The sequence below is a fragment of the Homo sapiens genome, chromosome 13 (assembly GCF_000001405.40).
Source record: "Homo sapiens chromosome 13, GRCh38.p14 Primary Assembly".
Classification (NCBI taxonomy): domain Eukaryota; kingdom Metazoa; phylum Chordata; class Mammalia; order Primates; family Hominidae; genus Homo; species Homo sapiens.
The window spans coordinates 72,507,019-72,520,381 of NC_000013.11; the positions used below are offsets into that span (position 1 = coordinate 72,507,019).

The 13,363-nt window shown below is 35.3% G+C and overlaps 1 annotated feature.

Moving 5' to 3' along the window:
* Window positions 291-2,598: an enhancer, noted in NCBI's record as "VISTA enhancer hs142". NCBI's record gives its function as "enhancer in: limb[3/3]" and the evidence as "EXISTENCE:transgenic organism evidence [ECO:0001131][PMID:17130149]".

Here is a 13,363-nt window from a genome sequence, read left to right on the forward strand (position 1 = left end):
GCTGGATTGATACATAGTATTGGCTAGCTGTCTACATTTGGCTGAAGTAGTATGTGAAACAATTGTATTAAAACACTGAGAAGAAATAAGACCATATCAATTGATATTGTTATAAATTCGATTGGTTGTTCTTTTTAAAATACAATAATCATGCAAATTCAGCTCCTCCCTCAAAAAAGGAGAGCTGTTTCTTGCTTCAATAAGCACTTAGCCTACAGCAAATCTCTCATGAACAATCAGTAAAATCAGCTGAGAGAGATATGAACATAAAGATACGAACATAATTTTTGATTGCTAGAGACCCCCTAAAAGCTAGATTGTCAAGGAGTTGGCAATAGTGAGCCGTGAAACGCTACTTTACTATTGGGATTTTTTTTTATTTTCCCTCTGTAAATACCTTGTTATTAAACAAAAAAAAATTTAAGGGCACTAAAAAAAATAGAAAAAAAGCAAACCACTGAGACGAGGCCCCTTTAATATTTTGCAAGGCTGACATCATCATTCTTAATAAAGCATTTACAGGGGACCCACTGAGCACTGTGACATTCCAGCTTCCCACTCCTACTTCTCACCACGTTCTCTGCTGGACGCCAGCCTCTCTGTGCATAGTTAAACGTCTGTGATGAAGCCCTCTTGGTTTACTGTTAATTAACTTTAAGTCTAGATTCCCTCCACATACAACTTAAAATACAAATTGTACACACTTTGAACATAAAGTCTTTGAACATTCCTCACTAATTGTTTAAATGCTGTGTGGATTTTGTCTCTAGCAGTTGGTTTCACTTTAACCTTTGGACAAATTGAAAACTTTTTTTCAGTAAAACTCCGCTCCTCTTTGTAGTCTTAATTTTGTACCACAGGGACTGTTTAATAAACAGTTTGCAGGTAAAAAGGAAAGACCTGATGACCCAATATTCTCGGTTTTCCCCAATGATTAGACATAGAGATTAGTCAAAAAAAAAAAAAAAAAGAAAAGAAAACAGGATTATGATTGGTTACATATAAATAGGAGCAGTTCCCTGAAGTCGTTAAGGGAGCAATAATAAGAGAAGAGTTGTTGCTAAAATTGATTTTAGGCGGAAGCCAGTTTCATTTCCCTAAAAAATCTTTTGTATATTTATTTAGTAATTGGTCATGAAATAACGCTTTAGACAGGCATTTTAGAAAGCATACCTCCTGTTTAATAAATCTGAGACTTTGATAATTATTAATGCACAAATGCCAGCAGAGAGATGCTTTATTCCCTGTGTCATGGTACAGCTATTAACGATACTCAAAGGAGTGAAAATTACCATTTCGGAAGTGTCCAAAGCAGTAAACTGGTAAACAAGCCTGCAGTTAGGGCTATGGATGATGTGAATCAACAAGGGTGAAAAGATTTGGTTACTCTGTGTATTAGTGTTAATAGGAATAGATTATAGAGGAATATTTGTGATGTGACCTTCTGTGCACTAATTGAAATAGTATTCAGAGTCAGCATTGGCGTAATCAAGTTAAACACGGAATCATAAATCATCATGAAAAGTGCTGTCACAACTTCGCCGTTAATGCCCTGGACTGCTGGGCAGCCTCGAGAAAATATCTGCTATGCCGATCTTTAGGTTAATAGGAACAGAAATGGCATTTAAAGACTATTTGGATCAAATCTGCTCTGAGGTTGAAAGTGTTCCTCCGTTAATTTACTGGTAATTTGAAGTGATGTAGTTAGGGTTAGAAGGAGCACAGCTGAGCCCCTTATAGCAAAACAAAGGGCTGTGGGAGTTTCTTCTAATATTTATTTAATTGCTTTAGGGTACAATGCTAATCAGTTTTAATATACATGTGTAGTTTCCTTTGTTTCTCAGATATAAAACAGTTGGCAAGGTGATCAAATGCATATCGTTAGCTTTATAGCCTGAGGTGATGTATTTGACAATGATAACTTTAGCACCCTCATATTTGACAAACGGAGAAAGCTTTTATTGTGTATACATAGAAATATTTCTGGCAAATTAAACTATAATGTGTCCTGGAGAAAGAATAAGAATCTAACAGCAATATTTTTCTTATGAACATTTCTTATTGATTGAATAGAATCAAACTAACAGGCTTAAGAAAAATCACAGAGGAATTTGTTGAGACATGATATATACTATTGCCAATAAAGTCCCGTGTCTCAATGCAGAGAAAGGTTGTGCTAATTTAATCAGTTACTCATCAGATCCTGTAGACAATAAGATGTATGATGCTAAGAAGTAAAGGGCTTATTTATTATAATCTGCTTCAAATGCTATAAATTAATAGAAATTTCAGCAGGCAACTGATAATAGAACCTTTTCAAAAGTATCATATTTTACTTCTAATCTGAAAGCAGTTCAAGTTTACCCACTTTTGAATATAATCTATTTAAAACTTGGTGGGCAAGTTAGGTGCACTTTTGTGTTTGTTAAACAATCCTAGAAAAATGTCTTCCTAAGTGTTGTTCACTTGAGTAGGAAGGGAATGGAAGAGTTATTCCCTTAAAGTTGAATATTCTTAAGTAACTGTGAAATTTTGAATGAAATTACAGTTTACCTATAGTACACAAATGGATGTTATAGGAAATCTGAGGTCGTTTGGCAGTCTAAATACATTAGAGTTTTCTTCTAAAAGGAAGATTTGTGACTTTTGCAATTCTTCGGGTTATTCAAGTACCGTTTTCAGGATCTAGGAACCGGCAAGCTGCAGAGCCCAGGTAGCCTATCCCGGCCCAAACCCAGGGTACAGAGAAGATAACTGAGGCTCTCAGTGGAGTGATTTGTCTAAATCCCCACAGCCAGCCAAGGTTTGTACTACTTAATAACTAATCAATGTCGATGTCTCTAAAACATTACCCTGAAAATTTTCACTTTAGAGTTTTACATGAAAAGTTTATCATATTTTAGATGACACTTTGCTTTTCTATGTAATATTTTCAAAACTTTTCTACTTTCAACAATATTTAGTGAGAATTTCAGTTGATACCCTCAGTAGCCCATCAATTACTGCCAACTAATATATGCTTTCATACAATTAGTGATTATCAGAAGTGATTTCTACTATGAAAGGATCAAAATGCTGGCTAACAAATTATGTTCACTACTTTTAAGAAACAAGGGTCAACATTTTAGGAAAATTTTTAAATAATGTTAAAAATTTCAATCACTACAGTTAAATGGGGTATTAGTCATGGTACCATTGGCTGATGATATCTGCATTAATTTTTCTAACAATAAAATGAGTTAGTTGTAATACAGTAAAATATCTGTCCTTTGAATAGAAAACTGGATCTACATCAAATAAGCAAGGTGCATAAAAGGAAGGAGCAATCTTTACTCGATGTGGGAAATGTTATCTTCCATCCCTTCTTTACCACCAGATATACAAACATGAATTACACACGGTTGCTAATGCTGTAAACTCACAGTCTAACAAGGACATATCCCTAGAATGGCAGAGTCAGATGCAACCTTAGAAAGCTCATAGTGGGTTAGCCACAGATTTGGAACTTGAAACCATGTCTCCAGATTTCTAATCCGTGGCCCAGGCTTCACCAGAGTGCTCCAAGTGGCCTGTGGAGCAGAGGACAGCCCATCCCACCTCAATCTGAAGCTCCGGAATGACTGGGAACAGGAAAGGAGGGATGCTAGGGATAGTCCCTGTAAATTAAGGACTCTGAGAACCCATACAAGAGCATCAGCACTGGCTGCAGTCAGCCCAATAACACAACCATTCACAATGGAATACCATCCCCTAAACCAGAAGATCTGACAGGAAGCTGCAACAGAAAATCTCCCCCTCATTGGCAACTAGTGACTTGGTGTTTCTCACCATTCAGGGTAGGTGCTATGGTGTAATACCAATTAATATATAAAGCTATCAAATACATGTTTTTAAAGGCATTTTCCTCTCACGTATTGCTATCTGTTGCCTTCTGGAAGCTCCATGTGACTCCTAGTTTGGGGTTTTCTTTCTCATTCATCTTTATAATGACCAAGAATAGTGTCTGGTACACAGTAGGTGCTATATAAATATTTGCTAAATTTATAAAGTTATCCAGGTTTGTTATTTTGCATGTCAACTCTATGATCATAATTTTAAGTCTTTAAGATTCTTAAATGATGGGTTTTTTAGAGGTACAATAGAAGTGTGAATAGAATTGACATCTAAGTGGAGATGTTGTACTTCAGCATAGTAATTCCACATCTGACACTAATTTTAAAATCTTTTCTCCCAAATGCCCGCTCACCACCTTGGCTTTATAGGCCAAACTGCCATCCGTGAGCAAAGCTGCGTGTCTCCTCCACTTGAAGAGCCCCATGAGCATGCTATAGTCAGTGGGAGTTCAAGACAGAAAAAATATACACTGCTTTGCACACAGCCTGAAAATCAAGGCATAAAAGAGGGAAAATAAATCAATGAGCCCCATTTGGCCTTTGCATGCATAATTCATCAGTAGAAATAAGTATCTAAAATGTTTTACCCATAAGTGTAGGATAAGTTACTTCATTTTTAAATATCTAAATCATAGTTATATCCCAGATAATTCTAATATTGATAATTTGAACTATATAAGCTAGATAGTTAAGCTATATAAATATCAACTTGTTGATTTTTAAGGGTGTATTTATATTTATGTCTTAAAAATGTACTTCATCCCAGTTTAAAGATGGGCTATAAAACTGAAAATAATGCAGGGCAGTTTGATCCCTTTACAAATAGTTGAAAGATAATCAAACATCAGTACCTGAGATTGTAAGTGGAATTAACATTTATTGAGCTACTACAATGTTTTGATCACTATAGGAGATATTTTCATATTATCTCTATAGTAATTCACATTATCTCAATTAATTTTCCCACCCCTAGCCTCATGAGATGGGGGCTATTATCTCCATTTTCAGGTGAAGGCACCAAGGTCCAGAGAGATTAACTCACCCATAATCACAGATATTAAACTGCAGATTCAAGACTTGACCCCAGGTTTCTTTGATCTAAAGCCAATCTCCTTTTACTACCCCCATGCTGCTTCTCTAATTGACTCAGCAATTGTACATAAAACCGTATTCTTCAAAAAAGATGTGTATCTATATATTTATTTATAGATAGATATATACACGTGTACTATTGGATTGGTGGGTAAATGGGCAGCAAAATTGCAAGGCCCAAATGTGGGCCCTACTAATTACTTATTCCCTCTTTGCCCAGCAAGTGCAGCCCCATCAACCCCTGGAGAACATTTGCTACTTTAGAATTATTTCCTCCAGCAGGAAGGAAGGGCTTTTGACTTTGGGAGGGGTATGAGATGGTAGGTAGGGTGAGATGGGCTGAAGGGAGATTTGTTGTCTGGATACTTTTGTCTATCTGAGATTTTCTATTGCAATCACAACCCAGAGTACTATATACAGCCAGAGAACCTGCATGGTATTAAAGAAAAAGGAAAAAAGAATAGGAGCAATACGTACAGATGGGACAAATATAAGACAGAGTGCTGGGGATTTTTCCTCCCAAAATAAGAAGTATCACCTTCCATTGCTATGAATCCTAAAAAACATATTTCACGGTATTTCTGTCTTTGTAAAGTCAACCTCACAGGAATGCCTCCCCTGGATTAGTAGAGGAGGAATGGAGAAGAGTGTACTTCACTCACCATCATCTTGAGCTGGGACTTCCAGACACAGGCCATCCTCCACGTTGTTTCCACAGAAGAGTCAACCTAGCTGAGCCTTATCACCCTCCATCCTATAATAAAAGGTAAAAATTAAATTAACACATTCATGTAAATGAATCTTCAATCACAGAAAGTCAGGTACAATGTTAGATGTGTTTTATAAACCATTGTTTTAAAGATTTGAATATATCCCCCTACAGACAAAAATGCTATTATGAAAGTGACCCTAATTCCACTTCATCCTGTGTTCTTTGAAGAACTCTATATCCAAACCATAGCTGACATTTAATATATTAAGTGAACATCAGCTGCAAAGTTACTATGGCTATGAATGCCATACACAATTGCATTAAAAGCCAAAACATCATATTTAAAGTATTACACACTTAATATAGACAAGTATTATCACTATAGCTCATTTTTTAATCCTCATAAATTTGGAAATTCAATTATTCAACTCATGAAACACACTTATATCAACAGTGTCAGCCTCACAATGTTTTCCTTGGTCTATTTTCCCAAGATACTGTGTCTCTATACTCACATTATAAGCCTGCGACGTCGGAACATGAAAGAGCCTGATGAATGTTTTAATATCAAATTTTGAAATGATTATGCTTATTTTTTTTGAGATGTTTTCCTACACTAAGTCATTAAAGATTTTCCAATGAAATGTTTATTTCTAAAACTCCAAGCATACTTATTTTATCTGAGAGGCAAAAATACGTTTTAAATACAAATTAATAAATTCTATCCCACATATAATCACGCTTGGCAATGAACAAAGTGCTTGTAAGAGAAAGATAAATTGAATTTAACATTATAACTCTTTTAATAAAAATATACAGATTCAAAACCTCTTCAGTGACCCTGTCTTCTACAGTATAATTCCCTAAAACTTCTAAGTCACTCAATGATAAGAGGCTGATCTAAACGCTTCCACTGCATTAATCAAATACCAGGTCTAATTAAAAGAGCCATGCACAAAGCTTTTTCAAAATGTTGCTCAGGTATTGCAATAATTTCTGATCACCCAAGCCTGGAAGACAAATAATTAGAGCTGCCAGAGCATTCTGATGAGTGATGTCAGCATCTCCAAGTGACCTTCCCTCCACTAATTAATTTTCATCTTAAGAAAAGAGACCCTGTTGTTGCACATTATTAATTGAGTTCACTAAAAGATGCGCCTGATTAATTTTTGTTGATAATACTTGTCATTCTAGGCAGCGGCTGTAATCATTCTATTGGGTTTTATTTTTTTTAAGTTGATCTAAGTCCTTTGCAATGTGACTGATATATCTGATACAAAATATCATGCATAAGGGCATATCCTATAATGTGTCTGGGCTATTTTTCATTGCAGTTGTTTGCCGAGGTAAAATGAAATGTCAGAGTGGAGTTTTCTGAGCTGTTGGAAACTGCTAAGGTATCATTTCACTTTGCCCTTGTAGCTGAGTGAGGTCACTTATTCCCAAGTCCCCAAAACAGATCACTGCACCCATTTTGTAGCCTGCTTTTGAGTTTTATGGTGAATCATCCCATCCCCAGAGAAAACACTGCATTTGTCTTATAAGAGTTCTTCATCACATCTCTGTGATTACCAAAAGACTTCCTACAACTTCCTTTGTCCTAAGAGTGGGATAGCTTGCTAAGTAATTTTAGCCTTTTGACCCTGTGTGGGAGGCAGAATGTAAGCCCAGAGCTTGGCTTGTTGCCCTGTTCATTCATAGAATATTAGGATTAGAAAAAATAAAGAGAGGGCTATATTAAAGTATTTATTTCATTAATCTAAAATTAAATAGGAAATTTAGTCATACTCCTAATGAATGTAAGTTGTACTCCGATACAGAAACATTCACATGCCATTGCATTTCAAGACCTTTATTAAAACCATAGTTTGTTTTCAGTGGAAACTTCTAAATGTAGAATTAATTTCTTGGGAAAATATTGTGTTTCAGTTTATAAGTGCAAATATGTTATTTGTGCTGGGAAAATGAACTCACAAGGCTTCTTAGATTTTAAAGTGGTCCTGCCAGGTGGATTTTGTCTAAATGAACAAAAGATATAATTTCATGGATACATGTGCTTAACAGTTAGGAAAAACGTGCTTAATGTAATGCCTTTTGTTTTGCTGAACCTGAAACCTTTGTAAAATGTCTTGAGTCTTTAGTCTGAAACAGGCAAAGTTAGATCCTATTACGTGTGCTGTATGCTATTGGCTTAGAAGTTTAAAAGAATTCATAAACATAGTATAGTATAGAAGGAAAACTAACAAAACTATCTCTTAAGTCTTTTTTGAGGCAGCCTTTCCCTCTTCCATTGAGAGCTTTTTTTCCTTGTTCTATTTCCCACTGGGTGAATGCAGGGTAGCCCTAAACCATCCTAGATCTAAAATTTGATAAGATTGTGCTATCATGCGACCAAATTCACACCTCCCTGTGAGTGATCTTCCATGAAAGGAAAGGTGACGCCAGTTCTCTAATAGTAGAGTTCATTATCATCAATCAATACTATTATTAAATTTCCACCAGGAATTAGGCACTTTATATATCTTCCTGAAATTTGGATGAGCTAAAGCTAACATTTCATCCCATGTGACTCCTGAGGAAACAGGTTTGAAAATGAAGGTTTGTGGGTAAAGGTAATACTCATGAGTTAAACGATGTATTCATAATCCAAAAAGAGCAGCATGTAAGGACACCAAACCTAATATTTTGAGATGTTTTACTGTCACAGTATTTTAGAACTGAAGAGAACTTTGGACATCACCTGTCCAACCTTAACATTTCACATATAAACTGATTCCCAGAAGACTTGATTAATTACATAACAAAAGACTTAATCCTTTGTTATGCAAAGAAAATATAGAAAGAACATTGATAAACACTAACGTGTATTTAGTTCAAACATCTTTATTTAGAATCATGAAAATACATATTTTTCTCTTGAGACTTTTTTTTAGCAGTTTTTGAGAGCATTGTTTAGATATCTTTTGTGTGCATCACCAAGGGTGAATTTATCAGTACTGATGTCTTTTTTTTTTTAAACACTAAAATGCTAAGGGACCATACCTGTTTATTCTGCCCTACCTATTCAGATTATTGCCTTTTTCAGTTACAAGGATAATAGAAGAGCAAAGGGGAGGGAGGTGGAAGGAAAGAAAAAGAGGCGAGGAAAAGGAAGGAAAGAGAAGCGAGGGAGAGAGGCCTAATTTGGTTCCACCTCTTTTGATTTTTTTCCCCTCATTATGTTTTCAAATTTTAACATGCAAGCCTAAGAAAGGTTGCCTCCATCAGACAATCTCTGAGCAAGTGTAGTTTATTTCCTTCAAGAAATTGATCTTAAATATTAAATAGGGGATAATAAAATTGAGGTTTTATGTTATAAAATTGCTCATAAATTCACTTTGTGTAACTTCTGCAAGTAGAGTGTTACTGCACTTAGTAACAAAACTTAAGATGTGATAGTTTATTTCCAAAGCAACACAAATGACGCATATCAGAATATGACTTATCAGTAGGAAAAAAATGAAGTCTTTATGTTTTTAATTTAAAGAAAACAATGATCTTGAGAGAACAACATTCTAGACTTGAAAGAAAGACAAATAGGGTCAGGATATCTTCCTGGGCAATGAAGAGGAGGATAGAGTGGAATATCAGGTATTGCTCTGAATCCAGGTCATTATTGCAGAAAGAACATTGAGACTCAGGAGGGGCCATTCTTTTGGGTGATGTGATTTAAATCAATATGGAGAGATTATCTCTGGCTAATTTATCTGACATTAGTCTTCTAATCAGATTTCACCCATAGTCTGTCAGCATTTCTTTCAGAAATAATCATCAATATTTTACTCCAATGCATAATCATTTTACTTTCTTTTGTGGCTCTTTTCCTATTTTAACAACATTGCATTTTAGTAATTGTATTTAACCAAACCAGAAATTAAAGAAAAGGGGGCTTTCTAGATGTGGATTCTGACTTTTAGCTATATCATCCCTCTTGAGAGCCAGTGGAGCCTTCCATTTTGTATAAAGAACACTCATGTAGGGTAGGTGTCATTGAACAATATGTGGCCCTAGGATGTACATCTTTCCCAGCTAATTCACTTCAGTTTTCATCACAATTTACATTGAGCTGTCCTCATTCCAATCAATGTTTTCTCAATGAGCGAATCAATTTAATCCATAGCCACATATGTATGGACATGGCATTTTCATATACTTAAAGGCATTCACCTCCCTGTTACAATGTAAAGGTTGTGGTAGCCACAGGGCTCAGAGAATTGTGCATAAGATCTGGGGTTAGATCAATTACGGGAGGCAGTTTGGTGGGGGAAAAATACACTCTGTGGGACTTGGAGTCAATCCTTGTTGGTTGGAATCTTAAGTCACCTAAAGCCTCTGAGACTCAATTTATATATAAAATGTAAATATATTTTACTTTCTCCTCATGGGGTTGAGAAATAAAATGTGAAAGTATCAGACCCAGCACCTGACATATTGCAAAAGTTCAATAAATATTATTTTATACAGTCTCGATTGATTAGCCCACTTCATTCATGCGGAGAGTCTGCTTTGCAACTCCTCAACTTTCCAAACTTTGTTCTTCACACTGCTTTCCCCTTGCAAGCAAAGAAAACTTGGAGAAACAATGCATTCTCCAGAGCCAGAGCTGAGCCCAATCAAGTGGGCTTACTGGTCAACCTAGGAAGCGTGGCTTCTGAGACTGGTCATGGTTGCAAGATGGCAGAGGAATCACAGAGCTGTAAGGCAAAGTCTGAATCCTCACTCATTGTTAAACTTGTTAGAGAGTTTGAAATTATATATCATAAAATAGCTCGTTCAGCAGGTATTAGAAGGACTGCTTAGAGGTTTTGAGATGAGAATGAAGTAGGAAAACGACAGCCATTGGTAGTGAAACTTAAAGTAACAACTTGACTGTTTTTCAAGCTGATTTAGAAAAAAGCGTTTTAACGTTTAAAAGGCTGGCAAGCATTATGATCTATGATACTTTCACTTCTTAAATGGAGTTTCACAGACCTTACTAATTTTTGACAAATCTCACATCATTTAATTTTTTAAGAGGTGTGTTTGACCCAAGGTTTTTGAAATACCTTTATATCTGACCTAAAAGGCACCTTCAGCCTAGCCTCTTTTAAAGATAATTTTGACAGAAAGCTAGCTATGGCTAGTAGCCACACCACCATAAGTTTTGACCTTGAGTGAGCTCCAATTTCTAGTAGTATTTGAATAAGTGACTTTTAGGTGAAAGTAAGAGGTCAGAAGATAAAGTATCGAAGTTATCAGGATTGATTTTTATTATTTCTCTCTCATTAATTGCCTCTGCAGTACCCCTTCCCCTCTGATTTAATATCTTCTGAAAATTCCCTTCATTTGTAGGTCATTAACAATAATTTTAATGTAGATCATGTCCTACAGAACAAATTCCAAAGACTTGTCTGAAGCAAAGAGATAGAGTGGAAAGAGCTTTAAGCCTAGAGTAAGAATGCCTGCTTTCCATCCTGATCCTGCTACTAACTAGTTACATAAGCTATCTTTACCTTAGACAAAATAGTGATAATCAGCTCTCCAACCTCACAGAGTCTTTGCATGGTTTAAATAAGTTTTTGCCTGTGAAAGCATATAGAAAGCTGTAAAGTATTGCACACATAAATCATTACACTAATTAAATTATGTATTTGATTTATGGTCTTGAAAATTTGAGGATCAAATAGTGTTTCAATAAATGACTCTTGGAAATAATTTAATTTTAAATGTACACTGAAATAAAAATATTTGCCTTCATGGAATTTGGGCTATAAAATTCAAGGTTGTGGCTCCTAAAATAATTACATTCTATAAAGCAAACCTTGTGTTGCTTTAAGAGCCTTCTAAGGGGTCATGCTGCTTCTATCCTTGTCCACTTAGAGTATTTTTTTTAACAGTTGCCAGAATGATCCTTTTAACCAAGTTAAATCATTTCTCTCCTCTATTCAAAACTATCCAATGACTCTTCTAACACTCAGTATAATAGCTAAAGTGCTTACAATGGCCAAAAAAGACTTAACACAGTTGGGTCCCCTGTTAATTCTGACTTCATCTACTACTGAGCTCCCCAGATCCATATTCCCTTCTTAGGACCTGCATGCTGTCTGTTCCCTCTTCCTGGAACACATTTCTCCCTGATACGGTCAACTCACTTATGACATTTAAGTCTTTGTTCAAATGTTATCTTCCTAATTAGACCTATACCTTAAATTGCACTCCTCAACACACCCAATAAACTTACCCTGCTCCGCTTTTTTTTTTTTTTTTACAGCACATATCACCTTCTAACATATTATACAATTTACATTTTTATTATGCTTATTATTTGCCTCCACCCACTGTAATATAAATTTCAGCAGGGAAAGGATTTCATCTGTTTTGTTCACTGATATCTCCAAGGCTTTCAAACAATGCCTGGACTATACAGTAAGTGTTCAAAATGTATTTATTGAAAGAATGGGTGATATAATGATGATACCACATACAGCTTTGTCAGTAGGTGTGCTGACTTCCCCGGCCCATTATTGTAATCAGCTGTAACCATTTATGGGCTATGTGCATCCAGGAAAAGGTGAGAAATGTGGCTATAAAGAGAATGAAACCATCTAGTTCTTCTGGACACAGTATCCCTGACCTTGGCATCTCTTTGTACATTTTTTAACCAATGTTGTTAACAGGATTTTCTTTCTCCTAGGTCTACAGAACATGACAACATTAATCTCTTAGTAAATTTGCATAAAATTTGCAAATGTAATTTCATGATCTGTAAAACCAAAATCAAAGTATAATATACCAATTTCACTGACTTAATCTTCCAGAATTCTATCAAGAAAGTAATCAGATTTTTCTTCGTTATTTATTCTTTATTCAATATGGCTCATCCTGCAATTCTTTACAGGCTGATTAGTAAATTCCCCTTTTTAACATTTATTTCTAAGTTTTATTTGAGGTTAAACTAATTATATCTAGTATTTATAATTACCTGAATCTTACATCTTTTAATCCATAAGATATAGCTTGAAATTTACCTTTAGCAATCTAAAGTTTCATTCTGGTTTTAAAACCCAATCAGTAGTGGGTCAATAATTTTGCCACTTGGGCATCATATACATATGGGCAGGTTAGTGCTTATAATTTGGCTGTGTCATACCTTATTAATACTACCATTTCACTAATACTATAATTTTATTAATACTATAACTTTGGTGGTGGCAACTATGGTTTTGGTTTACAGTTCCTAGCTATTAGTCATCCTTTTTAATTTGCAGTTATATACCAAAATTCTGCTTCTGTTTCCAAATTTCCAAGAAGCAGCCGAGGTATTCAGTCTGAGCAAGTCATCATATATAATGGTGGGAATGAAGAAAAAGAACCAAAGATGGTCTTATCGACAAGGGCATAGTTCTTAAAATGGCTTCCATACATTGTCTCCATACTACTAGCAATGTTGCACCTCTGAAAAACACAAGCGTATGAAATCCATTTGTATGGCCATTGCACTGTGAAAGCTAGATTTTTTGTTTTAATTCAGTCATTCAGTAAATGATATTTAAATACCTTGGCAGGTTTTTCTTTTTCCTTTGTTTTTTAACTGAGGAACATGAATGCCTAAGGGTTACTAAACACATTTTCTAAGGATTTTCAGTTT